General features: G+C 39.1%; 1 long non-coding RNA gene across 3 annotated transcripts in view; it reads right to left on the minus strand.

The window, feature by feature from the left end:
• Positions 1-6,540: 6,540 nt before the first annotated feature.
• The window catches only part of LOC105373451 (uncharacterized), a 39,122-nt gene continuing 18,164 nt past the window's right edge, over positions 6,541-27,498 (minus strand). Inside the window, exons 3-4 of one of the 3 annotated variants that reach the window (XR_001739301.2) lie at positions 22,112-22,286; positions 6,541-6,655 (exon numbers count right to left, since the gene is read on the minus strand). This is a non-coding gene — a long non-coding RNA (uncharacterized LOC105373451). Of the gene's footprint in view, positions 6,656-14,839; positions 15,033-21,504; positions 22,287-27,498 lie in introns of those variants that run through there. The other 2 variants (XR_939766.3, XR_939765.3) reach the window with 2 other exon arrangements.

Consider the following 27,498-nt stretch of genomic DNA (forward strand, 5'->3'; position numbering starts at 1 on the left):
CTCACAAGGAACTTGTCCTCTGAGATGCAGCTTTCACATGAGGTCTAGAGATCATCCCTTATTATAACTATTTCAGGAACAGGGACTCAGATAAGTCTTTCCTAGTGTCCTAAAATCACACTAGGCTGCATTCTCCTAAATCCAAGCTAACATGCTTTCATGAACATGTATGTGGTGGCACACATTGTGGCTTTTCTTCTCTGGAAGTGTGCCTGCATCTGTGGGCCTATGTGCAGAGTGGGGCAGGAGGACAGAGAAAAGCAGAAGGAAGAGAAAAAAAGCACAAGTATGACAAAGCAGAATTTGAGATCTCTCTCATCTTTTCTGAGCCTCCTGAAGATGGTATTGGGCCTGTGGGTTTTGGAGAGACAGCTAGATTTGTTATCTAATTATCTAGTCACACGCCGGCATATTTAATTCCCTTTTTAAAATTCCAAAGCATTTAGTAGAGGGTTATTTAATTGTTCCTGGCTGATCTCAGCTGTGCTGCAGAGAATTAAACATTGACCAGAATTTCTTCTGGGGTAAAAGTTTAAAGGAGGGGGTCAGCACCCCTGGAGGCCAGCAGGGTAGTTGCAGCCACGATCTGTAGGACTCCTAGGGAGAAAGCGAGTCTCCTTCATTTACTCAATTATTCAGTCCACAAATATTCATTAAGTGCCAACTACACTGCCAGATTCTTTTCTAGGACTGAGACAATAATGGAGAGCAACACAAAACAAAGAACCTGCCCTCATGGAGCTTCCGTTTTAGTGAGTGTATTAGTCAGTGTTCCCTAGAGGGACAGAACTAATAGGATAGATGTATATATAAAGGCGAGTTTATTAAGGAGTATTGAGTCACAGGATCGCAAGGTAAAGTCCCACAATGGACCATCTGCCAGATGAGGAGCAAGGAAGCCAGTCCGAGTCCCAAAACCTCAAAAGCAGGGAAGCTGAGAGTGCAGGCTTCAGTCTGTGGTTGAAGACGTGAGAGCCCGTGCCAAATCGTTGGTGTTAAGTCCAAGAGTCCAAAAGCTGAAGAACTTGGCATCTGATGTTTGAGGGCAGGAAGCATCCAGCATGGGAGAAAGATGAAAGCCAGAAAACTTGGCAAGTCTAGTCCTTCCACGTTCTTCTGCCTGCTTCATTCTAGCCGCGCTGGCAGCTGCCCACCCAGATCGAGGGTGGGTCTGCCTCTTCTAGTCCACTGACTCAAATGTTAATCTCCTTTGGCAACATCCTCACAGACACACCCAGGAACAATACTTTGCATCCTTCAATCCAATCAAGTTGACACTCAATATTAACCATCACAGACAGACAAATAAACACATAGATACCTATACAGATGCACACTCTGGAGAAGAATAGTAGGTAATGCAATGCAGCATAATGAGGGTATTTAGACAGTGACTCTGAAGAGGTGACGTTTGAAGAGAGACTTGAATTAATGGAGTTTATTCAAGTCTAGATCCCCTGACTTCCTCATCATTTAAAAGAATTGTTTAAGTGAGTGCATGTTCTGGATTTTTCTTTCAGACTATAAATGTTTGTTATACGCAATGATTTTTCTCTCTGTGTGTGTGTGTGCATGTGTGTGTGTGTGTGTCAGAGTCTCACTCTGTTGCCCAGGCTGGAGTGCAGTGGTACAATCACGACTTATGCAATCTCAATATTCTAGGCTCTAGCTATCCTCCCACCTCAAGCTCCCAAGTAGCTGGGACCACAGACATGCACCACCATGCTTGGCTAATTTTTAAAAATTTTTGTAGAGATAGGTTCCCACTATTTTGCCCAAGTTGGTCTTAAACTCCTGGACTCAAGCGATCATCCTGTCTTGGCCTCCCAAAGTGTTGGGATTACAGGCATGAGTCACTGCACCCAGTGTAATTTGTGTGTTTTAAATACTGTAGTCACTTTCTTACATATTAACAGAGACTCAACAATAATTACTGGCCAGGAGTGGTGGCTCATGCTTCTAATCCAACTTGGTAGGCTGAAGTGGGAGGATTGCTTGGGCTCAGGAGTTCAAGATCAGCCTGGGCAACATAAAGAGGCCTCATGTCTACCAAAAAAAAAAAAGAGAGAGAAAAAATTATTTGGGCATGGTGGTGCATGCCTTTAGTCCTAGCTACTCTGGAGGAGGGAAAGCAGGAAGATCGCTTGAGCTCAGGAGGTGGAGGCTGCAGTGAGCTGTGATTGCACCATTGTACTGCAGCCTGGATGATAGAGCAAGACTCTGCCTAAAAAATAATAATAATGAAAATTGTTGTTATAATTACTAATTCAATGATTAGTTCCCTTACTTTACAAGTGCAATTTTCTTACTACATTTATTTAACTCTGTATTCCTTTGGCCAGAAGGTGAATTAATTTTTTCCCAAGGATGGTGAGTGATTTTTGTGGTACTGATTGGGCCTTAGCGGAAAGAGGCAGTATGATACTCAGAAAATAATGTTGTCACTGTAGTTTGTAATTTACTCTTCGTCTGCCACTTGCCAGCAGAGTAGTCTTGAAAAAGTTATTTAAATTCTTTCAGCACAATTTTTCTTATCTGTAAAATGGGGGATAATAGCTAATTTCTAAACATGTTGCTCAGTAATGTTCATCCTCTTCATCCTGCTCCACAATCAGAAATTCCTATAGACAAACAGTTGTGTTTTTTATTAGTGACCTTAGTCCCTAAGGTCCAGGACAAGCTGGCATACCTAGTAAAGACTGAGTCATCCCACATCAACAAGGCATTGAGGAAACTTCATTGCTGGGATTGTTTTTATTTCTCATGTTTCAGTTTAACCTGTGACTCTCGACTTCTCCAACAGCTCATATGTAACCAAAAACTATAGCATGTGTTACACTAAGAAGCTAAGGGATTAGTCCGGGTTACTCAGTCTGTGGATAGTAGTGGTGCAACCAGAATCACCTTTTCGTGACTGTGCTGAACATTGTCTTGAGAGATTAAGTGACTTTGACCAAATCTTAGGACCTAGACTTAATCAAAACGCTGAAGTCCAAAAATGGCCTCTAAAAAATGGTGTAAGTTACCAAGTGATTAATTTTTGCTTTTAAATATTTGGTCAGTACCAAAATAAATATCTCTGATTTCTTAAGAAGGAAGGAAAATTATTTGATGAAGAGAAGCATGAAAGATAAAATTTGTCACTGACAGATCATAGAGAATTCAGCCTTGGCCGGGCAAGGAGGTTCACGCATAAAATCCTAACACATTGGCAGGCCAAGGCAGGCAGATCCCTTGAACTCAGGAGTTTGAGACCAGGCTGGGCAACATAGTGAGACCCCCACCTCAATAAAAATAAATAAATAAATAAATAAATAAGAGAATTCAGCCTTGATGAAATCATTAGCCTTTTCTTTTATTTTCCACTTCTGAACATGATATAACTGATCTAACTGTGGAATGTAAAAAAATGAGTAGTCAAAAAGCGATACTCAAGCTTTTTAATTCTGATTTTAGACACCAGTCTTCCCATTAGTATTCAGAAAGCTGTCGACAGTCTCATAGAGAGGAAACTCAATGTTAGTTAAGTCTAAAGGAGAAAGCAGTAAATAATCTCTGTATTTAAATATTGTCACATTAACTCATTTTTGATTGTGAGAACCACTTTTTGTCTTCTCAGACAATACAACCTTCTGGAAATGCACCTCCTGTGACACTCACAGTGGCTGGAGTCCTCCTGTGGGGAACGTCTGGGGGCTCCATTTCTGGGCCATTTCTCAGCTCACTGCCAAAGTGTCCATCTGGATATCTATTACTGCACATTACAACCTGCCTTGCCATCGTCAGTTAGGGATATTTTTTGGCTCTGAGAGATCTGTGGAGAAAAAAAATGCCTATATTTCTTTTGATTTTGCTATAAAAATATAAATGCTCTGGTAGGCATTTTCTCCTGATGTATCAAAAGGCACTTCCATCCATCGATTTTCAGAATGCCCTTATTGCTACTTTTCTTCATGGTCTGGAGAGATTGAGTGACTTGACCAGTGTTTCACAGTGATTTAGAGGAAGAGTTAAGATTGAATCCTGAGTTCCCTTATTTTTTCCTCTAGTGTACTAAATTACTACTTTATGCAACCTTTAGGTTCAAATGCCTCCTTTTAGCTCCTAGCTCACCACTTCATTTCTTAAGAATGTCAGAAGTTACACTTTTCTTCTGGAAAAGTATTCATAAAAGACATGAAAAATTCTAATTATTACCCTTGGAATACTTCACATTTGTGTGAATATTTTAAACTTTGTTTTCAAAGCTGTTAAATGCTCTCAGGGTATAAAGTAATTAAATAATTATTGAATTTCTTTTTTGCCTGCTTGGATACTAACAGTAATCTTTTTAATTTCAAAGTATGACAAATTTACTTGCACCTTGGTAGGTTTCTACAGTGCCATCATTCCACTGAGATGATCTGCTGTGTGACTTTTTCATATTGTCCCCTTGTGGGCATGCTGACCCTGAGGTGTCTCAAAGGCTGATGTTGCTGATCCTGGTGTACTATGGTGTGCCTTCTTACATATGCACTACCTTATTTGAGGCAAGAGAGGAATGAAAATCTTGAAAGTTGTATCAGTAGGCTCTGAAATAATTATTATAGGGCAATTGAGAAACATGTCATATCAGTTGTGTTTGAGTATTGTCTTAGGGTTATTTTCCCCATTAAAAAAATAGAACCAATTAGATACACACACACACACACACACACACACACACACACACACACACGAGGCGTCTTCAAAGAGTTCATGGAAAATGCATGTTATATATAAAAAAAACTGCATGGATGTCAACATTTTTTGGACTGCAATAAATTATACTAACATGTTATGTCTAAATAGGATCTAGTTTAAGGCACTAAGAAGGTTAAAGTATCAGTTTGAAAAGAGTCCCTATTAGAGCAAAATGATTTCTGCTAAAATTGAAGCAAGAACAAACATCAGATTTATGGTGAAGAGGGCTGGAAGAATGGTGAAATTACTGATGCTTTACAAAAAGTTAAAGGGAACCATCCCTTCCCCCCACCAAAATCAGCAGTTTCCAAATGGATAACTCATTTTCAGAAGGGATGAGATGATGTTGAAGATGTACACTATCCACATCAATTTGAGATGAATTAATCTTATTAATGTCCTAATTGAGGAGGACTAATGATTAACAGCAGAAACAGTAGTCAGCATTATAACATCTCAATTGATTCAGCTTATACAATTCTGAATGAAAAATTAAAGTTGAGCAAACTTTCCACTTGATGAATGCCAAAACAATGCACCCAGATCAGTGGCAGACAAGAGCACAGCTTTCAATGGAAACTTCAGTCAAGTGGGACTGTTATGGGATCTTTGGGGTGTTGCTTTTCTGGCCAGAAACTTCTGTGGCTGGTGGCACCTTTGCCCAAGGTCTTGTCCTGTGTCCAGGAATGAGGTATGTAGACAAGTGGGAGGTGAACAAGATGAAGAGAAGCTTTGTTGAGTGTTACAACAGCTCAGAGGAGAAACGCAGTGGGTAGCTCCTCTCTAGTCATCTCATCCAGTGTTGGGCTCTCAGCAGAAAGGAGGCCCTTGAGAGGATAGCTCCTCTCTGCAACTGGTCCTCCCGATGTCTCTCCAGCCCTCCTCCACCCTGCTCCCGCTGAGCCCAGGGCTTTTATGGACCACGGAGGTGGGGTAGAAGTGCATGCTGATTGGTCCATGGGCAGCTGCCCCGGACCTGCTGATTGGTTCATTGGTCACCTGCTCCAGGGGCCTGAAGGTGGGGCTTCGCTGGGGACCCACCCCCTTTTGCCCAGGAGCCTGTTTGCCTCCTGCAGTCATCCATGGCATTCAGGCTGCTGGCACCAAGGGACAACTTCAGGCCAGCACTCAGCTACCCTCAGCCCCCCCCATCAGCTTCCCCTCCAGTGCTCGTTGGTGCCCAAAGTTTGGAGGGGGCTGAGGCGGCAAGGGGCCGGCATGTCAGCACTGCCCCAAGTGTGTCCCCACCCAGCCAAACTGTCATATCACCTGGGGTTGGCCGGAACTGCACTCCGAAATTGGAGTGAGTGCCAGGAGTTGGGAGAGGCCAGGCAGTGGGAGCAGGCACCTCTGAGCCTGCAAGGGCAGGGGCGCCTTCCCAGGTCCCCCAAGAGTGCGGGACTGCCTGGGTCTGCAGTTCCAGTTTGGGCGACTTCATCTGCCAGGGGTGTGGGCGGGGCTCCTGCCTGCTCCGTGTAGCAAGAGGCCGGGGTCTGGTCTGCAGCCACTGACTTGGGGGCTTGGGCGGCTGCAGTTTCACCTGGGGAGCTCCCACCCTGCCAGCTTGGAAAAGGCAGGGCTCCTGCTTGTCCCTGGCTCCCGGGGGCTCAAGGGAGCACAGCACCCGGCCACGCCCCCTCACAGCCTGGGGCTGGGGCTCCAGGTCCTTGCATCCAGGGCAGGGGCGACGTTGCGGTGAGCTTCCCCTGTGGCCCTGGTGTTCAGGGGTGGCCTGGAGCTCCCCCTTACCTGGTATGTGACCTAGCCCAGTCCCATTGTGGCGGCCCTCTGGGTGGCTGGCTAGGGGATGGGGGTGGTGCTCTCTGCCTCCTCCATGTGCCCTCCCTGCAGTGGCCGGTGTGATGGCAGTGGCTGAACCAAACAACCCGCGGCTGCCATTGGGATAAAGATTCTAAAGGTTTTCTTTGAAAAACTGTAACAAGAAATGAAACATGGCTTTACCAGTACAATCCTGAAGATAAAGCATAATCAAAACAATAACCACCAAGGGGTGGAAGTGGTCCAGTCAAAGCAAAAATGGACCAGTCGTGAGCAAATGCTATGACAACAGTTTTTTTGGGGGATGCACAAGGCATTTTTGCTTGTTGACTTTATGGAGGGCCAAAGAACAAGAACACTGACTTATTATGATAGTGCTTTGACAAAGTTAGCCAAAGTTTTAACAGAAAAATGCACCAAAAAGCTTCACCAGAGTGGCAATGCTCCTGCTCATTTTTCTCATTAAATAAAGTCATTTTTGCAAGAGTTTCAACAGGAAATTATTAGACATCCACCTTACAGTTCTGATATGGCTCCTTCTGACTTCCTTTTGTTTCCTAATCTTAAGAAATCTGTAAAGAGAACCCATTTTTCTTGACTTAATAACGTGAAAAAGACGTCATTTACGTGATTAAAATCCCAGGACCCTAAGTTCTTTAGGTATGGACTAAATGTCTGGTCATTGTTTATGAAAATATCTTGACCTTGATGAAGTTTATGTTGAGAAATAAAGTTCATATACTATTTTTACCTTTTAACCTCATTTTTCCACAAACTTTTTGAAGCCCCTTCATATCTAGATATATAAGAAGAGATTGTTTTATGGGAATTGACTCAGGTAATTATGAAGGCCAAGAAGTCCCAGGATATGCTGTCTGCAAGCTGGAGAACTGGGAAAGCCAGTGATGTAATTGGTTGGGTGTGGCTGGAGGGAGATGCTAGTATAAGTCCTGGAATCCCAAGGCTGGAGAACTTGGAATTCTGACACCCTAGGGCAGGAGAAGATAGGTGACCAAGCTCCAGAAGAGAGGAGAGTCAATTTTCCCTTCCTCTGAATTTGCATTCTGTCTCAGCCCTCATGAATTGGATGATGCCTGCCCACACTGGTGATGGCAGATCTTGTTTACTCAGTCTAGTGATTCAATTGCTAATCTTTTCTGGAAACACTCTCACAGACATACTCAGATATAACATTTTATTAGGAATCCAGGTTTCTCTTAACCCAGTCAAGTTGGCAAAATTAACCATCACAAATATCAAGTCAACCAATCAATTGTTTTTGAGTGGAGTGCTTTAATGTCTTATTTGAACAGCCGGAGCATTCAATCTTTATTTATTAGAGCAACTACCAATTGATGCAGCAGAGTATAAGTTGTTCAAGTTTTAGTCTGAGTCCTTATTTGAAATAACAATTTTAGATACTCAGGCATACTCAGCTTGGTTCCAGAGAGACAATAGAAGGTAGACGTTAGAGCAAAGACTGGATTAGATTCGTGTGTGTTTGTTTTTAACCTGCCTTTATAATCTCCCCACTAAAGGCCCCTTCTCCTTTTAAGGGCCACTTCATATTTGCAGCTTTTATTTTTTTATTCTCTCTGCCAATTATTGTTTTTTAATTGGTGTATTTAGATTATGTACATTTAAATTTACTAGGGCTTAAATAAGCCGTTTTATTATTTGTTTTCTTTGTTGGTTTCTGTTTTATTTATCATTTATTCCTGTGAGATACTTGAATATTTTAAGGAATTTATTTTGATTTATTTAACATATCTTTTAGTACATTGCTTGGTATAATTTTGTAATGGTTGCTCTTGGTATTACTATATATACAGATATACATATATTTCTCTGTATGTCTTATAGTCGATTGATATCAACATTTTATCACTTTGAGTGTAGCATGAAAGTCTCACTTCCATTTGGGTCACTTTACCATCCTCACTACTGAAATACCATTGTCTTGAGTTTCAGATGGTGTTATGGACTGAATGCTTGTGTTTCCCTCCAAATTCGTATGTTGAAGCCCTAACACCCAGTATGGCTATACAGTTGACCCTTGAAGAACATGAGTTTGAACCACCTGGGTCCATTTACATGCAGATTTTTTTCAATAAATATTTTTAAAGGTTTTTGGGAGATTTTCAAAAATTTGAAAAAAAAGCAGATAAATCCCATAGCCTAAAACTATTAAAAATTTAAGAAAAAAATGTGTCATGAATGTATAAAGTCTATATAGATAGTAGTATATTTTATTATTTATTACCATAAAGTACCCCAAGACAGCAAGACCAACTCCTCCTCTTTCTCTTCTTTCTCAGCCTACTCAATGTGAAGATGACAAAAATGAATACTTTTATAATTCACTTCCACTTAATAAACAGTAAATATATTTGCACTTTCTTATATTTTTCTTAGTAACATTTTGTTTTCTCTAGCTTACTTTACTGTAACACATATAGTATATAATGTATATAACATACAAAATACAAACTAATCACTCTTTATGTTACTGGTAAGGATTTGGGCCAGTAGTAGGTTCTTAGGAGTTAACTTTTTGGGGAGCCAAAAGTTATACATGGATTTTCAACTGCACCAGAGTTCTGGAAGCCCAGATATTATTCAAAGGTCACCTCTATTTGGAGATAGTGTCTATAATTAAGTTTATAATTGAGGTCATCAGGGCAGGGCCTCAATCTAAAAGGCTTAATGTCTTTACAAAGAAAGACACCAATGAGTGCTTCCTCTTCCTCTGCAAGTACACACCTTTGAAAGGCAAAATGAGGACAGAGGGAGAAGTTGGCCATTGGCAAGCCAGGAAGAGAATCCTCACCAAAAAACTGAACCTTGCCAGAAACTTAATCTTGAATTTTCCAGTCATCAGAACTGTGAGAAAATAAATTCCAGTTGTTTAAGTCATCTAGTCTATGGTATTTTTTATGGCAGCCTGAGCTGATGAGTACAGATTCATTATGATTTTTGTTTAATTCCTCAAATAAGATTGAGAAAACTCATCAAGAGAATAGTCTATTGTGACTAGCAATGTATTAGTCCATTTTCACACTGCTATAAAGAACTTCCTGAGACTGAGTAATTTATGAAGAAGAGATGTTTAATTGACTCACAGTTTTACATGTCTGGGGGAGCCTCAGGAAACTTACAATCATGACATAAGGCTAAGGGGAAGCAAGGCACATCTCACATGGTGGCAGGAGAGAGAGAGAGCAAGGGGGGAAATGCCACACTTTAAAACCATCAGATCTCATGAGAACTCACTTATTATCATGAGAATGGCAAGGGAGATATCTGCCTCCATAATCCAATCACCTCCTACCAGGCCCTTCCTCTGACACGCAGGGATTACAATTTGAGATGAGATTTGGGTGGGGACACAGAGCCAAACCATATCAAGCAATATTTCGGTTATTTTCATTACTATTTTTTCTCATTTCTCATATTTGACTATTTTGACACTCTAAGATTTCTCTTTTTTATAATTTTAAAGAATTTTCTTTAGTCTTTCTGTAAGGGTACGTCTGTTAAGTGACAAATTATTTTACCTTTTCTTCATATGAGAAAGCATTTATTCTCCCTTCATTCTTGAAAAATAGTTTTGCCAGTTATAGAATTTACAGTTGGCAGTTCTTTTCTTTCAGTACTTGAAAAACATTGTGCCATTTCCTTCTGTCCTTCATTGTTTCAGATGAAAAATCTACTGTCATCCTGATTTGTATTTCTCTATAGATAATGCTTTACTTCCGTCTGGCTGCTTTCAAGCTAATGTCTTTGATTTCAGTGTTCAGAAATTTAACTACAATGTGTCTTAGCATGGATTTTTTTAAGGCTTATCTTACTTAAGTTTCTCTCAGCTTATTAAATTCTTAGATATATATCTTTCTTCAAATTTGGGAAGTTTTTAGCCTTTATTCCTTCCAATATAGGACCTCTAATAATAGGATATTGGATTTTTAGTTATCGCATGGATTAAACAGTTCTGCATTAAAATTCTGTTTAAGCCATTTAGTAGCTAGATTGTCTGAGTGAAATTAATCTCCTTTAGCTATATTTTATTTTATTTTTTTCAATGAAATGGAATATGATGCCAGCCTATATTGGACTTTTGTTGTTTTGATTAGCAACTCTCCCATCTCTGATCCTATATGCATAGGCACAAATCATTTTCTTTGAAAATGCCAATAATGTTACTATTTATTCATCTCTGACTCTTGATTAATTTGAATTTTCTGTAGGATAATTGCTGTTAATAGAGAAAAAAAATCTCGATCCCTAGTGTAAACATGGGTCTTTCATGGTTTTTATTAAACTAAGGCTAAAGCCACCAACAGTGACTGTGACAAGCAGGCCTGATGACAGTAATGCTAATTAATCTCCATATGCCTGAGCATCTGGTTTTAGGAAACTGAACAGAAAACACTCAGCACTAGCTCAGCATCCTGGGTGTTCATTGATTGATGAATATTGAATATGCGCGTTAGTCATCAGAATGTCCAAATGGAAGAGCACATTGAAGCCAGTGATCTGGCAGTGTTGACAAACCTATTCTTTGACCCTTCATTCACCCCGTTCTTCAGACCTCAATTGAGACCCTGTTGATGGACTGCTGCAGGGTCTGACTTCAGCAGAGAAGAGAGAGAGAAGAAACTTCTCCCTTGTCTCTGCCTGAAGGATAGCAGGTAACATGGTTTGCTTGTTCCTTGCAGTCACTCATATTGTGGCTCTGGCTGACCCCTTTTACTATTTTCCCTGTCTGAGTGTTTCTTCCCCTGCGCTAACCTATTCCAAGTACTCAGTGCTCTGTTCTCTACATCACAGCCCAGGAGAAGATTTTTCTCTTATTGAGTTAATATTATAATCTCTCTCCCAAGAGGATTTTCAACCTTGAATATTGGATCTCACTGGGAATAAACAGATCTGTGCCCTGGGGCCCTGAGATACTTGATGCTCTCAATTTCTGCCCTGAATTCCACCCCCATTCCCTGACAATATATGCCCAGGACTTATAAACATTTAATTACTTTTCCTCCTTTGGTTATCCTATAAATAATGAAATTACACAAGATCTTTCAAAATACTTAAGTGACATTTTGTTATTACACACTTAGGGTGAATACATTTACATCAATTAGATAATTATCAGGATAATTGGCCCCCAATCTAGCAACATTTTATTTTTTATTTTTAAAGGCTAATGTTTACAGGGAGAAGGTATTTTTTTCAATCAAAATGGGTTCTTCTGGGACAGCTTATGACGCTAGATTACAGACTGAAAATGTACTTACATCCTTCTGCAATGAGGACAGAAAAACTGAGATCTACAGAATTAAACAATAATTTTATTACACAAAATCTGTGCTTGAGTTATTGACACTCGATTTCCCTGATTACTCAGTTAATGAAGTCAGTGAATGCACTGTGCTTTGCAGTAGCATCAGCAGCAACTAAATTAGCATTTTAGGGAGATGTTTACGTGTATTGTTGATTTCAGGAAAAAGAGTTGACTGATATGGGTAGCTGCTTAGGGGGAATAGTTTGCACCCAAATAGGAATGAAACGTAAGACTCAGCAGCTGTTATACCATCTTCTTAGTACCTGGAATGTGGTGTGATGTTGTCACCTGCTTTTCTACCAGGGAAGTCTAAACTATAGTCACAGCATTCTATAGCAACATGGCAGCATTTATTCTCAGGAAGGTGTTTAGTCACTGGTCTCTCATATGTCCTACTAATCAGTTAAAAATATACAATAAAATGGCCAATAAAAATAACTTTCTTATTATGGAATAATTAAAAAAATTGAAATCACTTTGTATGCATTTCACAATTATTCCAGCTAATTTTGATATTGGGGAAAGCAAAAAACAAGGATAACAAATAGGGTCTCTTATTTTTAGAGGGCAAATGTCCCAGCTGCAGTCTTTCTGGAAGACATCTACTCTCTGCCTTTTTCTACATTTTAATGTGGCTGAACTACAATAGGAAGCAGACAGAAGCAAATTCCAATTATGAGTGTCCCCACATAGCTTGTGTGCCTTTGGGTAAATTATCTCGGGTAAGTTATTGAAGCACAATGTATCTTGGTTTCTCTTTCTTTAGAATGGGGATACATATACCTGCTTCATAAAGTCAAATCAAAAACATATGCAATCATTTGGTTGTGTTTTCAACATTCTAAAGTACCATATTTTATATGACAGTCTCAGAATTTATTAATTTACAAGAGGATGGAGAAGGCAGAAAAAGGACTTTATATAGATAAACTTTATAGATTGACTATAAAGATACTTCTGATTTAAAAAACATGAAAATGTGAAAGGAAAATCTTATGCCTTAGGTTTGAGAAAATACCATAGTGGCTGCTAGAGAAATAACTACTTTCCTACTCCTTGAATATTCAGAGAGCAGACAGAACAGTCCAACAAATATTCAAGGAGACTGGAATTTCTTGATATTTATTTAGAAGATACTTTATTTGTAGTATGAGTATATAAAATCCAACATACACAGATCAAAGAATCCTAACCTGAGATGTGTGAGCATATCACATGGCTTTTATTTCTTATGCTAAGCTTACAAATAAAACGAGACAGCCCCCAGGTTCTGTTTTGTAACCCAGACTCAATCAGTTTTGTTTTTTTGGGGAAATAGAGGATGCTGCAAAAATTATCTTTATTTGACTATAAAAAGAACATTTCTAGCACAATAAAAAATGGTAAACCCAGAATAATTGGTTATGTATAATCATTGTGAAGCCTATTTCTATTTTTATCAAAGTGAGGCGTGAGGTTTTGGATGTGTTTATGTTGTTTTTGGTTTTGGCAGGAGAAGAGGAAGTTGGGAGAGTTTTGAGAGAATAGTGTTGCTCTATAATTGTAAAATTATTTTTTTTTTCATAATATAGCAATGCTAATTTACTTCGCTCACACCCACTGATTACAGCCAAAGAGCTCAGCCTGGTCAGTGCTGTGGAGAGTAGATTTAGAAACATGGGAGATGGGTAGAAATTTGGGCCTTTTGGAGATAGAGAGATGGGAAAATTATATATTTATATGAATAAATACTTTATATATTATATATAATAAATACTAATATATTTATATATAAGTTATACAGAAACATACTGCTAGAAATATAGATACAATGGTAGATAGATATCAGACAATACAAAAGCCTTCTTTCTTGGGAAGCTGTATTAGTCTATTCTCACACTGCTATTAAAGACATATCTGAGACTGGGTAATTTTCAAAGGAAAGAAGTTTAATTGACTTACAGTTCCACATGGCTGGGGAGGCCTCATAATCATGGCAGAAGGCAAAGGAAGAACAAAGTCACATCTTACATGGCAGCAGGCAAGAGGGCATGTGCAGGGGAGCTCCCCTTTATAAAACCATCATATCTCCTGAGACTTATTCACTATCCAAGAACAGCACAGGAAAGACTCACCCCCATGATTCAATTACCTCCCACTTGTCCCACCTGTGACATGTGGGGATTATGGGAGTTACAATTCAAGATGAGATTTGGGTAGGGACACAGCCAAACCCTATCGGAAGCCTAAAAACTTGACCCTGTAGGGGGTTACTTTTAACCCCACCCTCCAGAACTTATAGTATCTCTAAGATACTTTGACCTCTAGCCTGAGACTTGTTTCATTAATCCAAGCCACGCTGAGCATCTTGCCTGGTCTAGGCCCACCCCTTAACAAAGCTGTCACTGCTTTTGGACTCCTCTTCTGTAATCAAGCTCTTATGTCTTCAATTTCCGAGTTCCTGGAAGGCTAAAGTACAACTTTTTTTTTGAGATGGAGTCTCGCTCTATCGCCCAGGCTTGAGTGCAATGGCGCTACCTTAGCTCACTGCAAGCTCCGCCTCCCGGGTTCACACCATTCTTCTGCCTCAGCCTCTCAAGTAGCTGGGACTACAGCTATGCTACGATGTCCAGCTAATTTTTTGTATTTTTAGTAGAGACAGGGTTTCACCCTGATAGCCAGGATGGTCTTGATCTCCTAACCTCGTGATCCGCCTGCCTTGGCCTCCCAAAGTGCTGGGATTACAGGTGTAAGCCACTGCACCCAGCCAAAGTACAACTTTTTAATACAAGATTTTAGTTCTCTTTCTCATTAACAAATAAGTGCAAATAGTAAAAACCTATTATTGAACACCTGCTATGTTCTAGGCAAGCAGTTTAGTTAATTACCTAATGCAGTTTTTGCCCCAGTTTTAGGAGAAAGTTATTATTGTCTTTCAATTAAGCACACTAAGATTAATTGAATAATGTAATAGCAATAGTGTTGTATCATGGACATTAGTTTTTTGTTGGTGAGGGCTGAGGGAGCTGGTCAGGGGAGATCACTTCAGATGATTTAGTTCACTGATTCATTTTTACAGAGCAAGAAAATAAGTCTCAGAAACAGCAAGTGATTTGACCACGGTCTTGCTGCAATGTGTGTTGGAGCTGGGAACAGAACTCAGGTCTTCTGACTACCAGTCCGTGGTCCTTTGTGTGAAATCAGCCTCCTTCGGGAAATAGAATGACAAGTTGGTTGTAGAGTGGCCAGCTGTAACTGCTAATATTCCAATAATGTTATTGAGACTCCCTGCAAGCTGGACCAAAAAAGGGAGAAAGGCTTTGGGGAGCTGTGCTTATCCTTCCTGGATTTAGAGAGCCCGTCTTTGTCTTGGCACTTGGGCCCCTTCTCTCCTTTCAGGCCCCTCTGTTAGACAGAGGCCTGCTTACATCTCCCAGAAATAAGCAATGATTAGCTCAGCTACAGGATAAGAAATAGGGCATTTGTGAAAGCACATTAAATAAAGGGCATACAGAGCAAAGTTAAAAATTAGGAAAATACTTTCCTCTTCAGTGCCAGTCTCACCTCTTACCTCCCACGCCCTAGCATCAGCTTAGCCCGCATTAATTTTAAGACCCCAAATAAGAAGGTGCAAGTGCTAGATTCCGGGCATAATGTCCTCAAACACCCTCACTCCCACCCATTCCCAAGGCACTCAGGGCTCTCTTCTATGCTGCCTTCTTGATAGGGTCTACAGGGTCTGCTCTCTGTCCCTGTGCTCAGTCTGGTGTCTGCACTTACTCCCTTCTACAAAACCTTCTCGTTCATGGAGCATGCATGAAAAACCAAGTTTGTTTTTTTCTTTCTTTTCAGCTCTTTAGTCTTCCAAGATTAGAGGTGGGTTTATAAGGGACAGGGTGAGAGCTGTGAAGGTAGTAAGGTAGAGAAGTCAGGTGGGAGTTGTCATATAAGTGGAGGGAAACAAAACACTTTAATCTTATTTCCTCTGTGACTCCGTGGCCTAACCTGGGTGCATTCATTAGCACACTTCTAATTCACTGATACTCTCTTTGTGTTCAGTCTAGAGTTCATCCCATTTACTGAGTTGTCTTTACATACATATTTTTATTTCCCTAATTTATCTGTATGTTCTTGTTTTATTTCTGCCTTTCATTCTTTCATACTTCTTACTCTGTTTCAGTGGACATTCTAAACCTATTTATTTTATAGTATTACTTAGATTGTTCCACAAAATGTACTATCTCTGGAGTAATCAATGTTCCAATTGTTGATATTTGCCTATCTTTTATACATTTAAATTTTTTTACATTGTTTTAGAATTTTGATTTGTGAGCTAATTTTGGTAGGAATATATATATATTCTCCTTTTTTTAGTGCTCAATTCTCACTTCCTAGCAATTTTACATTTGCTTCTACTGAGTCTTTAGTCCTGTAGTCCAGTCTGAGCTGCCATTTTAGTGACATAGAGGATATCACAGATGGTCATGTGTAAGAGGCTTGGTTCACTTCCTGATCACCAGGTAGCTTGCATAAAGGTATATCCTTGCCTGTAGTTGGCAGCAGTTTTCTCAGCCTCCTTCTGTGAGTGGGGAAACCTCAATGGAATCTCTGATCTCAAGCAGTAGGGCTGGCTCATGTTCCCCTTCTGAGTGGAGCACCTGAGGGCATTCATGTTATAGATTTTTTTTAACCCATCCCAGACTCTGTGGCCTGGCCTAGCTCTCAGGTTATGTAAAGCACAAAATTAACTTTTTACATAAAATAGAGATAATATCTACCTTCAGAATCACAATGAGTCAATGAAACATGTAAAGCAGCACATACAGAGTGGGACAAGTAGCAAGCCCTCTACAAAAGCTTGCCGTCATTGGGAGAAATTATCCAGAGGACTCCTCACTCCTTATTCAAAAGAGCAAGTGCATGGGAGATAAGATTAGCTGGCTTTTTTTGGTGACAAGACGTCACAACACATTTACCCACACGTAAATGGAGAAACCAACAGAAGTGGACTTCAGCGTATAAAGTAAGAGAAAAAAATCAACTTTCTGTGTCACTCAAGATTCTTAGACCTCAGATTGGTAAAAAAGAAAAAGCAAAAAAAGAAAGAAGATGTGCTCATTAAGTATATGGTACAAACCAAGAGAAGATCTCTTTGCTAGAGTGATATACTGGTAGCCCAAGACCACGGTACGTGCAACATTTTGACAGCCCTGACCAGTGTCTTCTGGTGGCCACTTTAGATACTGAAATGTAGCACAGAGATAATGTGAATGTAGTTTTATGGGCACAGGCAAATCACAGAAACAAAGTGATGTATAGCTAACACAGGAAATGAATTATGTGGCCAACACACAGAAAGTGTTAGATTTTGTTCATGCAAGGGACAAATCTTAATTTTTCCAAAATTGTATTTTGATTCCTGACTTTCCTATTACTCCAACTAAAATACTTCCTATTCAGTTCTATCCCAGCACTTTGGGAGGCTGAGGCAGGTGGATCACGAGGTAAGGAGTTAGAGACCATCCTGGCTAACACGGTGAAACCCCATCTCTACTAAAAATACAAAAAAAAATTAGCTGGGCGTGGTGGCAGGCGCCTGTAGTCCCAGCTACTCGGGAGGCTGAGGCAGGAGAATGGTGTGAACTCGGGAGGCGGAGCTTGCAGTGAGCCGAGATCACGCCACTGCACTCCAGCCTGGGCAGCTGAGCAAGACTCCCTCTCGAAAAAAAAAAATACTTTCTATTCAATTCTAACACCAAACTTTGCTATGGCTATGTTCCTGGCCTGGAGCGTATTTTACTTTCTATTCCTCACTATAAAACACTTTCTATTCTTAAAGGCCAGCTAAAGAGAATTTCTTTTGGGAACTCTTTCTCATTAATACCATCCATAAAGAACTGTCCTCCTCTGAGCTCCTGGATGCAGGAGTCTGTTGGTGTTCTCCAGCTTGTAGAGTCTGATAATCTTGATATTAATGAAGTTTATGCTTCAAGTCCCCTCACCTGCAGAGGTCCCTCTCCTGGTTCCAGGAGGGGTGCTAGCAATGAATTAATGTAGGTCTATTTTTGTAAAACGTATAAATATAAGAAACGTTGGCCAGGCACGGTGGCTCACACCTGTAATCCCAGCATTTTGGGATGCCAAGGTGGGCAGATCACCTGAGGTCAGGCGTTCGAGACCAGCCTGGCCAACATGGTGAAACCCCGTCTCTACTAAAAATACAATTAGTCTGGCATGGTGGCAGGTGCCTGTAACCCCAGTTACTCAGGAGGGTGAGACATGAGAATCGCTTGAACCTGGGAGGCAGAGGTTTCAATGAGTCGAGATTGCGCCACTGCACTCCATCCAGGGTGGCAGAGTGAGACTCTATCTCAAAAAAAAAAAAAAAAAGAAAAGAAAAAAAGAAAAAGAAATCCTAGTGCCTCTATTATTTTCTGGCTACATGTGTTTTTATCACATCTTTGTGTAGAGTTTGTAAAATAATTTTACATGAGGAGAATAGCATATAATCCTCATTTTGTATGACTGAACAACATTTTTTTATTAGTTGATAACTGAATTGTATAAACCCAACTTCATATATACATGTATTTGCTGTTTGTAGGAATGCAATCAGGTAAAGCCATGAATCCTTTTCACTCTGACATCTCCTCTATCCTGGGTGGCATTGGAAGTGTTGGCTGAACGTCACCGGGTTTTGGCTGACGAAAAGTTGGGGATATGTTTAGTTTGGATTTAGTGGGACATGTTTACATGGCTTACAGTATATTGGTGGTCATCCAGTGTAGCAACAGTTTCTAGAAACTCTCCCCTAATCAGTATGCTGAGTTACTTAGTTTCCTGGCACACTAGGCAGAGCCAGGCTTGCATTGTGACATGAGCTTGTCTGGAGGTGCCCGACATTGGTAGACAATAAAGAAAATTGCAAATGATGAAACCAGAAGTGAGTCAGTGGAAAATTTTTCCTTTAGCCAGATGTATGAAATTTCAAGTAAAGTTATCAGTTTACTTTGATGCCTTAGTCAAATGGGAATTCTCTTCTGTCAAGAATGTTCCCAATAATGTAACATATACAATTATAAATGGAAGATAAGGGATGTGAAGGACCTCTTCAAGGAGAACTACAAACCACTGCTCAAGGAAATAAGAGAGGACACAAACAAATGGAAAAACATTCCATGCTCATGGATAGGAAGAATCAATATCATGAAAATGGCCATACTGCCCAAAGTAATTTATAGATTCAGTGCTATCCCAATCAAGCTACCATTGACTTTCTTCACAGAATTGGAAAAGACTACTTTAAATTTCATATGAAACCAAAAAAAGAGCCCACATAGCCAAAACAATCCTAAGCAAAAAGAACAAAGCTGGAGGCATCACACTACCTGATTTCAGACTATACTACAAGGCTACAGTAACAAAAACAGCACGGTACTGGTACCAAAATAGATACATAGACCAATGGAACAGAACAGAGGCCTCAGAAATAACGCCATACATCTACAACCATCTGATCTTTGACAAACCTGACAAAAACAAGCAATGGGGAAAGGATTCCCTATTTAATAAATGGTGTTGGGAAAACTGGCTGGCCATATGCAGAAAGCTGAAACTGGATCCCTTCCTTACACCTTATACAAAAATTAACTCAACATGGATTAAAGACTTAAGACCTAAAACCATAAAATCCTTAGAGGAAAACTTGGGCAATACCATTCAGGACATAGGCATGGGCAAAGACTTCATGACTAAAACACCAAAAGCAGTGGCAACAAAAGCCAAAATAGACCATTGGGATCTGATTAAACTAAAGAGCTTCTGCACAGCAAAAGAAACTATCATCAGAGTGAACAGGCAACCTACAGAATGTGAGAATATTTTTGCAATCTATCCATCTGACAAAGGGCTAATATCCAGAATCTACAAAAAACTTAAATAGATTTACAAGAAAAAAACAACCCCATCAAAAAGTGGGCAAAGGATATGAACAGACAATTCTCAAAAGAAGATATTTATGCAGCCAACAAACATATGAAAGAAGGCTCATCATCACTGGTCATTGGAGAAATGCAAATCAAAACCACAATGAGATACCATCTCATGCCAATGAGAATGGCGATCATTAAAAAGTCAGAAAACAACAGATGCTGGAGAGGATGTGGAGAAATAGGAACTGTTTTACACTGTTTGTGGGAGTGTTACTTAGTTCAACCATTGTGGAAGACAGTGTGACGATTCCTCAAGGATCTAGAACCAGAAATACCATTTGACCCAACAATCCCATTACTGGATATATACCCAAAGGATTATAAATCATGCTACTATAAAGACACATGCACAGATATGTTTATTGTGGCACTGTTCACAATAGCAAAGACTTGGAACCAATCCAAGTGCCCATCAATGATAGACTGGATTAAGAAAATGTGGCACATATTCACCATGGAATACTATGCAGCCATAAAAAAGGATGCATTCATGCCCTTTGCAGGGACATGAATGAAGCTGGAAACCGTCATTCTCAGCAAACTAACACAAGGACAGAAAACCAAACACTGTATGTTCTCACTCATAAATGAGTTGAACAATGAGAACACATGGACACAGACGGGAACATCACACACTGGGGCCTGTTGTGAGGTGGGGTCTAGGGGAGGGATAGCATTAGGAGAAATACTTAATGTAGATGACGGGTTGATGGGTGCAGCAAACCACCATGGCATGTGTATACCTATGTAACAAACCTGCACATTCTGCACATGTACCCCAGAACTTAAAGTATAATTTAAAAAATAATAAAAAAAGGAAGATAAATTGCTTTTTTTGATAGGAATTGTGTAAATTTATCAGAATATACTAGAATTTCTGTGTTTGTATGGCACAAACCTGTTGCCGTCCTACAAACAGCAAATACATGTATATATGAAGTTGTGTTTATACAATTCAGTTAACTAATTAAACAATTTTTGTTTAATCATACAAAATGAAAGAATTATATTCTATTCTCTTCATGTAAAATTATTTTACAAACTCTGCACAAAGCGGTGATAAAAACACATGTAGCCAGAAAATGCAAGGAAAAAAATCATAGAGGCACTAGGCAGTTATTTAATAAAACTAGTATGTTGACATTTCTGAATGGTATGATATTTATAGTATTTGTCAGTTCTTTTAAAATTCATAATTTGTTTTTCTTATCTCAATAAATATTCATTCTTATATTTAGTTTTTTACTCTTAATTTTTAAAAGAATCCTCAAAATAGAATATGCTGCAGTCTCACATCACCTGGATTGGCCTCTGCCTGTCTAAGGTTTCAACCCCCCTTGTGGAGTGAGTTCCTGGATAACAGGGGTGATTCTTTGTGCTGTTTATGAATCTGCTGCTTCCATCCAGTGCTGTACATAGCTCAGGTGTTCTTCCACTACTTGAGTAGTTATTAATAATATGCAAGAGAGCTCTCCTTCCATGTGGTACTTGGCACTGCTCTTGGAGTTAAATAGAATGATTCTGAAGGGTTTCTCTAGTTTTCAAGATTGATACCTGTTTATTTTAAGCAATGCTGCCTAATCCTGTCATGAGACTATGTCAATATTGACTAGTTTATTAAATAAGATTAGAAGATGCTCAAATCTTGAACTTATCTGTACACAGTGCAAATTGATACCACTTCTCCCTCCACCCACAGAAAGAATCTTAGATAACTATATATATAAAATACTTTTCTGTAATCTTTATAATTGTAATATCTGAGGAAGTTTAACTCTTCAATATATTAGAATTGTTTTGAACAATTTATTGTGCTAAAGGAGTAATTTCATGAACTTCCTGTTACTGTGAATCTTTTGCTCAATGTGTCTCTAAAATGGCTATCAGAGAGTAGTTATGTTAGGGTCTTTGAGGGAGGTTTGCTCAAAGTAAAATATTTTTCCATAGATAAACAATTCTATTGAGCAAGAGATTGCCTTGCAAGAGTACAACAAATCTGCTTAGAAAAAAACTCTCTTTAATCTTCCATTTGCGATGTAATAGGTCCTTGGATTTAGTTAACAGTGGTTGAAGAAACATTGTTGGCAAAAGATATGTGCTCAGAAAGATCACAACATTAATTTTCACTATGTTCTCTTGAGCACAGAAATTCACATACAGTTGTGTTGCGTTTTGTGTTTTAATATCCTGATGTTCTTTTCGGGTCTTTTTTAAGAAGTGTAATCTGTGCTGGAGCAAGTGATGTATGTGAGGTTTTCTAGACTAATATGCAAACAATGCCAAACATCCCAATTACCTTTGGGAGATCCCAAAACCTTGTCTTTCAAGGCCTTGATCCTAGGGTTGCTGGGCTCAACGCTAGGGACTGCGCTGATGAGGACCTGGGTCAGAAAGCCCTAGAGAACACCAGTGGGGCAGAAAAGCTGTTGCTGTCTTCTCCCATAGTGAATGGCAGGGGTCAGGGCTTTAACCTAGAGAAGATGTTAAAGAAAAAAGATTATTTATGACACTTGTTAAAACATTAAAGCAAGCTTTTTATTCAGGATTATCGCAATAGGTATAGGGATTGCAGCAATGGAGTTTTGCAATAGGAGAGAGAGATTGGGCTAAACTCTGAATACAAGAAAAAACGAGAATTTATAGACAAGGAGCAGAGTGGGGTCAGTGCATGGAAAATTCTTAAGAAGAAACATCCGGGGTAAGAAGAGATTCTGGCTGAACTGACCAACAGGAGTCTTGCTAAAATTAAGTGATAAAAAGAAGGACACAGAAGTCCAAAAGTTAGGACTGAGTTGGAAAGAGGATTCAGAGAAGCCCAACTAAAATTTGGCCAAGGAGAGACTCCATCAGTGACACACCAACAATATTGCAATCAGCAATTCCAAGAGTTAAAGGGGAAAAGAGTATTTCAGAGTATCAGGTAGCAGTGTCAGAAGCTGGGATAGAACCTTCCCTCCATGTGGGCTAGGCTAGTCTTAGCATATCGGGAAGTTGAAGTTGTCAACGGTGTTCATTGAGGAGCTGTATGCAACCACTTCGACTGTGTTCAGAAGCTCAGTGAAGGTAGAAATGCTTTGAGGAGACTGAGAGGGAAAGACCAAATGCAGTTGTGGTTTATAACGTTCCTATCATTTAGAAAATTAAACATGTTGGGTTTCATGTTTCTGTTTCTCAGTGACTCCCAAAATGAAGATTTAATCTTCTCTACAAGAGTAGTGAGTTAAGCTTTGAGATATGGCCACGTGGTGCTGCTGATATCTGGGAAGCCTTTGTGCAGTTCGTGTTTGGGACTTTTAATTCCTGGGCCAGTAGAAGGACTTTTTTTTACTTGATATTTCTCATTTCTTTTATCACACTCTGTACTTTTTGGCTTAGTGACTTTATCTCTATCTCATCTTCTATTCTCTTGGATTTAGGAGAGGGAAATATTTATGCATTTCCACAACTGAGAGTGGAGGAGGGGAGAGGGGGAGAAAGAGAGAGAGAGAGAGAGAGAGAGAAAGATCCATCTGCTGCATATATTGGACCTTGTCATGGTGACCCATAGCCTTGTTAGCCTGTGATCCTAGGATTCCTTCCTCACTGTGGCCATTTCACAGTAGGACCTTTTTCCTCTTATATGTAGCTCTTGCTCAACCTAATTTCCTTTCAGAAAACTGACCTTATTGGTATATTTAATTTTCAGATTGACACGTATACTAAAATAATACTTTTGTCAATAGTTGCTTAATGTGTATTCAACATTTTCTCCTTTTATAGATTATATTATCTGGATTCTTAAATCATTTGTATGAAATTACAAGTGTAGCAAGAGAGACACAATAGCTTAGGTTCCATGTCTTTTTGAACTTTTCCTGACTTGAAATGGGTAGATTTTAAGAACAAATGTTACTTATTAACAAATAAGTACAAATATATTATTAATTTTTAGTAAAACAGAGACTATGTGTGGGATTTACGATGCATTCGATTTACTGTGCAATTCTACAGACTATGATATAGTATTTCCAGAAGGGCTGATACCTATCAAGGAGTTGGGATCTGACCACTGTGAAGCAGTCAGTCATTCTAAGGAGCTGCAGCCTTGTCAACGGTGGGAGACCAGTAATTCCCAGGCTTTAGATGAGCTACTGGTGTGTTTGGACTTATGCAAGAGTCCATGGTCACATAGGAAACTAGAGGGAGGTAAGAATAAGGTGGAGAGATGCTGGAAGGTGTTTCAGGTTGGCTCCTGGAGTTTATATTTCCACCAGTTAAGTATAAATAATCTCACCACTGAAGATCTCACTTAACTCACACTCATTCTTTAAAAAATCTCTTAGGAAGACTATATAATCATAACTAAGCTACTCCTATAGAAATCTAGATCAGTACATTTAAAATGGGTCATTCATTCTGACTTTCTGGACTTAATGTCATTTTTCCTTTTAAAAAAGAATATGAACAAGAATTTTCTATTTCCTATCACTATCTGTTACCATAAGCTCATAGAGAAAATATATCTACAAATCATAGTTTCTAAAAATTTACTCTTCTTGTCTCATGGGATGTAATTATGAGTGTGTGTATGTGTACATTTAGAGATTCACATTATCTTTACTTTCTGTGTGTTTCCTCCAGATAAGGAGCAAAGTAACCTTCTTAGCAGACATTATTATAAGCCCCAAATGTAGAGAAGAGTGACTTTGAGCTTCTAACCTAGCCAATGATCTTTAACCAGCATTGGTCAGTTTTGATCAATTTCTGTGTGGGTTAGATAAAAATTGATTCTTTTATAAGGCTTTGCTTCTCTCTTTTTAGTAGCAGACATTGGTCATTACAGACTGGACTTTAAGTTGGGTCCAATTCTGTACACCCAAGTCTGTGTGGTGACTCTGCTGAGGAACTCATGTGCCTGCAGATTTGGATTGTTAGCACATAAACATCTTGCTGTAATCTCTGCATAATGCTTTTGACCACATGCTTGTGAAAGAGATACAAGAACAACCAACATGTTTTTCCTATTCTCACACACAGTTAAACAATATTCAACACAACATCCCACTTCTGGTCAACAAAATGTGTATAGAGATTTCTTCCAATTCTCCAGTGGACACCCACTCAGTGTCTTATAATTTAATTATATTCTGGCACTGTCTACATGGACATAGTGGCAGATCCCACAGGCTAAAGGCTCAGCTCCACAAGGCTTTCACCCAATTCAAATGCCAAATGCAAGTAGTAGGTTGTCACCTATACTTCTGACTGACCAGCTATAAACTGGGGCTCCAATTGCCTTCTCCTTGGGTTCAATTAATTTGCTGGGAAAGCTCACAGAATTCACAGGGAAACACTTAGCTTTGTTTCCTAGTTTATTACATAGGACATTACAGTGTATACAGATGGTCATCCAGATGAAGAGATACACAGGGCAAGGTATGCGATGGGGTGTGCAAAGCTTCCATACCCTCTCTGGGTGCACCACTCTCCAGGAACTTCCACATATTCAGCTATCTGGAAGCTCTCCAAATCTAGTTATTTAGGTTTTTATGAAGCATTCATTTCTTAGGCATGATGGAGTAAATCATTGGTCATTGGTGATTAATTTAAACCTCAGCTCCTTTCTCTTCCCTGGAGGCTGGAGAGTGGAGGTGGAAGTCTCAACTCCCAAATCATGCCTTGGTTTTTCTGACTATGAGCCCCATCCTGAAGCTACCAGCCATAAACCATCTCACTAGCATAAAAGAGGCACTCACACTTTAGAGATTTCAAGGGTTTTAGGGATCTGTGCCAGGAAACATGGAGAAGACCATACATACATGTACATACATACGTATATCTTATTATAAATCACAGTGTCACTGTTTGCAATATGTTGTGTAACTCAAAAGCAAAAACAAATGAACCACAATGGGAAAAAAATTCAGGACTATTTTCTTAAGGAAAATAACTTCTACTCTTTGAATAAAATATTATATAGAAATAAAAAAAATAAACTCTACAAACTTATAATACCTTGAACACTGACCAATAACTTAAGAAACAAAAGAGGATAATTCATCTGTGCTTCAAAATGATTTATATGGTAGCTCCTAATTACCTTTAGTCTCTTTGTACTCTGATTATCAGCAACAGTACTGTGTGCTAGATTGTGATAACTATGTAATTCAGCATGAATAATAACTGTACTTTACATGGTGTGGAGGGGTGATAATCCTCCCTCAATTTTCCACTGAAGTATTTGGTCATTTTCTTCTGAATTCTGCAGGGTAAAGGAATTATTTTTTTCTTACACCTACAACTTTCTGCTGTCACCTTAGCTGCACCATGGTATTAAAAAATTTAAATTACTCTGGTGAATATCCAATTGTGACCTTTCTTTTTATGGAAGATGTATTCTATTTCCAGTTTTGCTTGGGCTGAAGCAGCTTCTCATGCAAATGGTTAAACGTCTTATAAAATGTCAGTAATAAACACACTGTCATTTGACATTACAGTAAGCTGTCTAATAAGAAATCATCTTTATGTTTCAACAAAAAAAGAACCTAGGTAAAATAACTAATTTCTTTTATTATCTTCTGATATTAGAGTAAAATGTATGTGTTTGTGTGCGTGTGCATGGTGATTTATTGTTGTGAATTAAACTACTGTGTACATAGCCACTTTATTTTCAGATCAGGTAAGATGGTCATTATACTTAATCTTTGTTTTTATGCATATAGGCAAAAACAAGAAAAGTAGACATCAGGCAACAAAAGCTAGAAGTCTTAATGTGAATAAATAAATGCTATATCAGAGTCCAGAGATTTCAATGTTAGCCCCATCCTGGCCTTTTGCTACTCATGTGACCTTGAAGAAATCAATCTGAGCCATTATTTACTTGTCTATAATCTGGAGATATAAATACCTATTCTATCTTATTGGGTTGTCATGTGAGATAATATTCTTGGCATTTGTGAAGTGCTACACAAATATGAGGTAAAATTATTTTTAAAATTGAGCTAAATTATTTTTGGCTGAAAGGCAAGTCAATAGTCAAGTAACTGTTTATGTCAGAGTATCCCTTTTTCAGTGGAAAATTTATCAGTGAATTCTACCATACGTGGATACTTTTATTAATCATTGCGTTTAAATAATAACACATAATTATTTGCTGACTTTGAGGCACATATTGTGCTGACTTTGAGGTTGCTGGTAATAAGTGATAGTATGAGCATCTATCATTGCCAGTAAAGTGCCAAGCACTGTGGCTGGGGCTTCACACATATTATTTCTGCTTCTTACCAAATCTCTGCAAACCACTGATACTAAGCATTAACAATGAGTCAATGACTTGTTCAGGCCCTAGAATTCTCCTACACAGGGTCAGGATTCATATTTGGCCAGGACATATACTGGGAATAATTTGGAACTCGTATATTGTTATGAGGAACTGGAAGCCATCTTGGGGACCAGCAAGAAGCCCAGAGAGAGGAAGTGACTTGCCTATGGTCACACAGCCAGCTGATAAAGGTTCCAGGGGTACCCAGATCTTTTAACAAACTATCTTCTTATTTTCTTAGGTTCTTATTTCCTTTGCTTTGACAGAATCTTCCTGTGTAGCAGCAGCTGTTTTCCTTACCAAAGTGAGAAATAAGTTGGCTCTAATCCTCATCTTCCATTGTTTGTGAATTTGGGGCCCTACACTAACATCTCTCCCACAAT

The sequence above is a fragment of the Homo sapiens genome, chromosome 2 (genome assembly GCF_000001405.40).
Source record: "Homo sapiens chromosome 2, GRCh38.p14 Primary Assembly".
NCBI classification, from domain to species: Eukaryota; Metazoa; Chordata; class Mammalia; order Primates; family Hominidae; genus Homo; species Homo sapiens.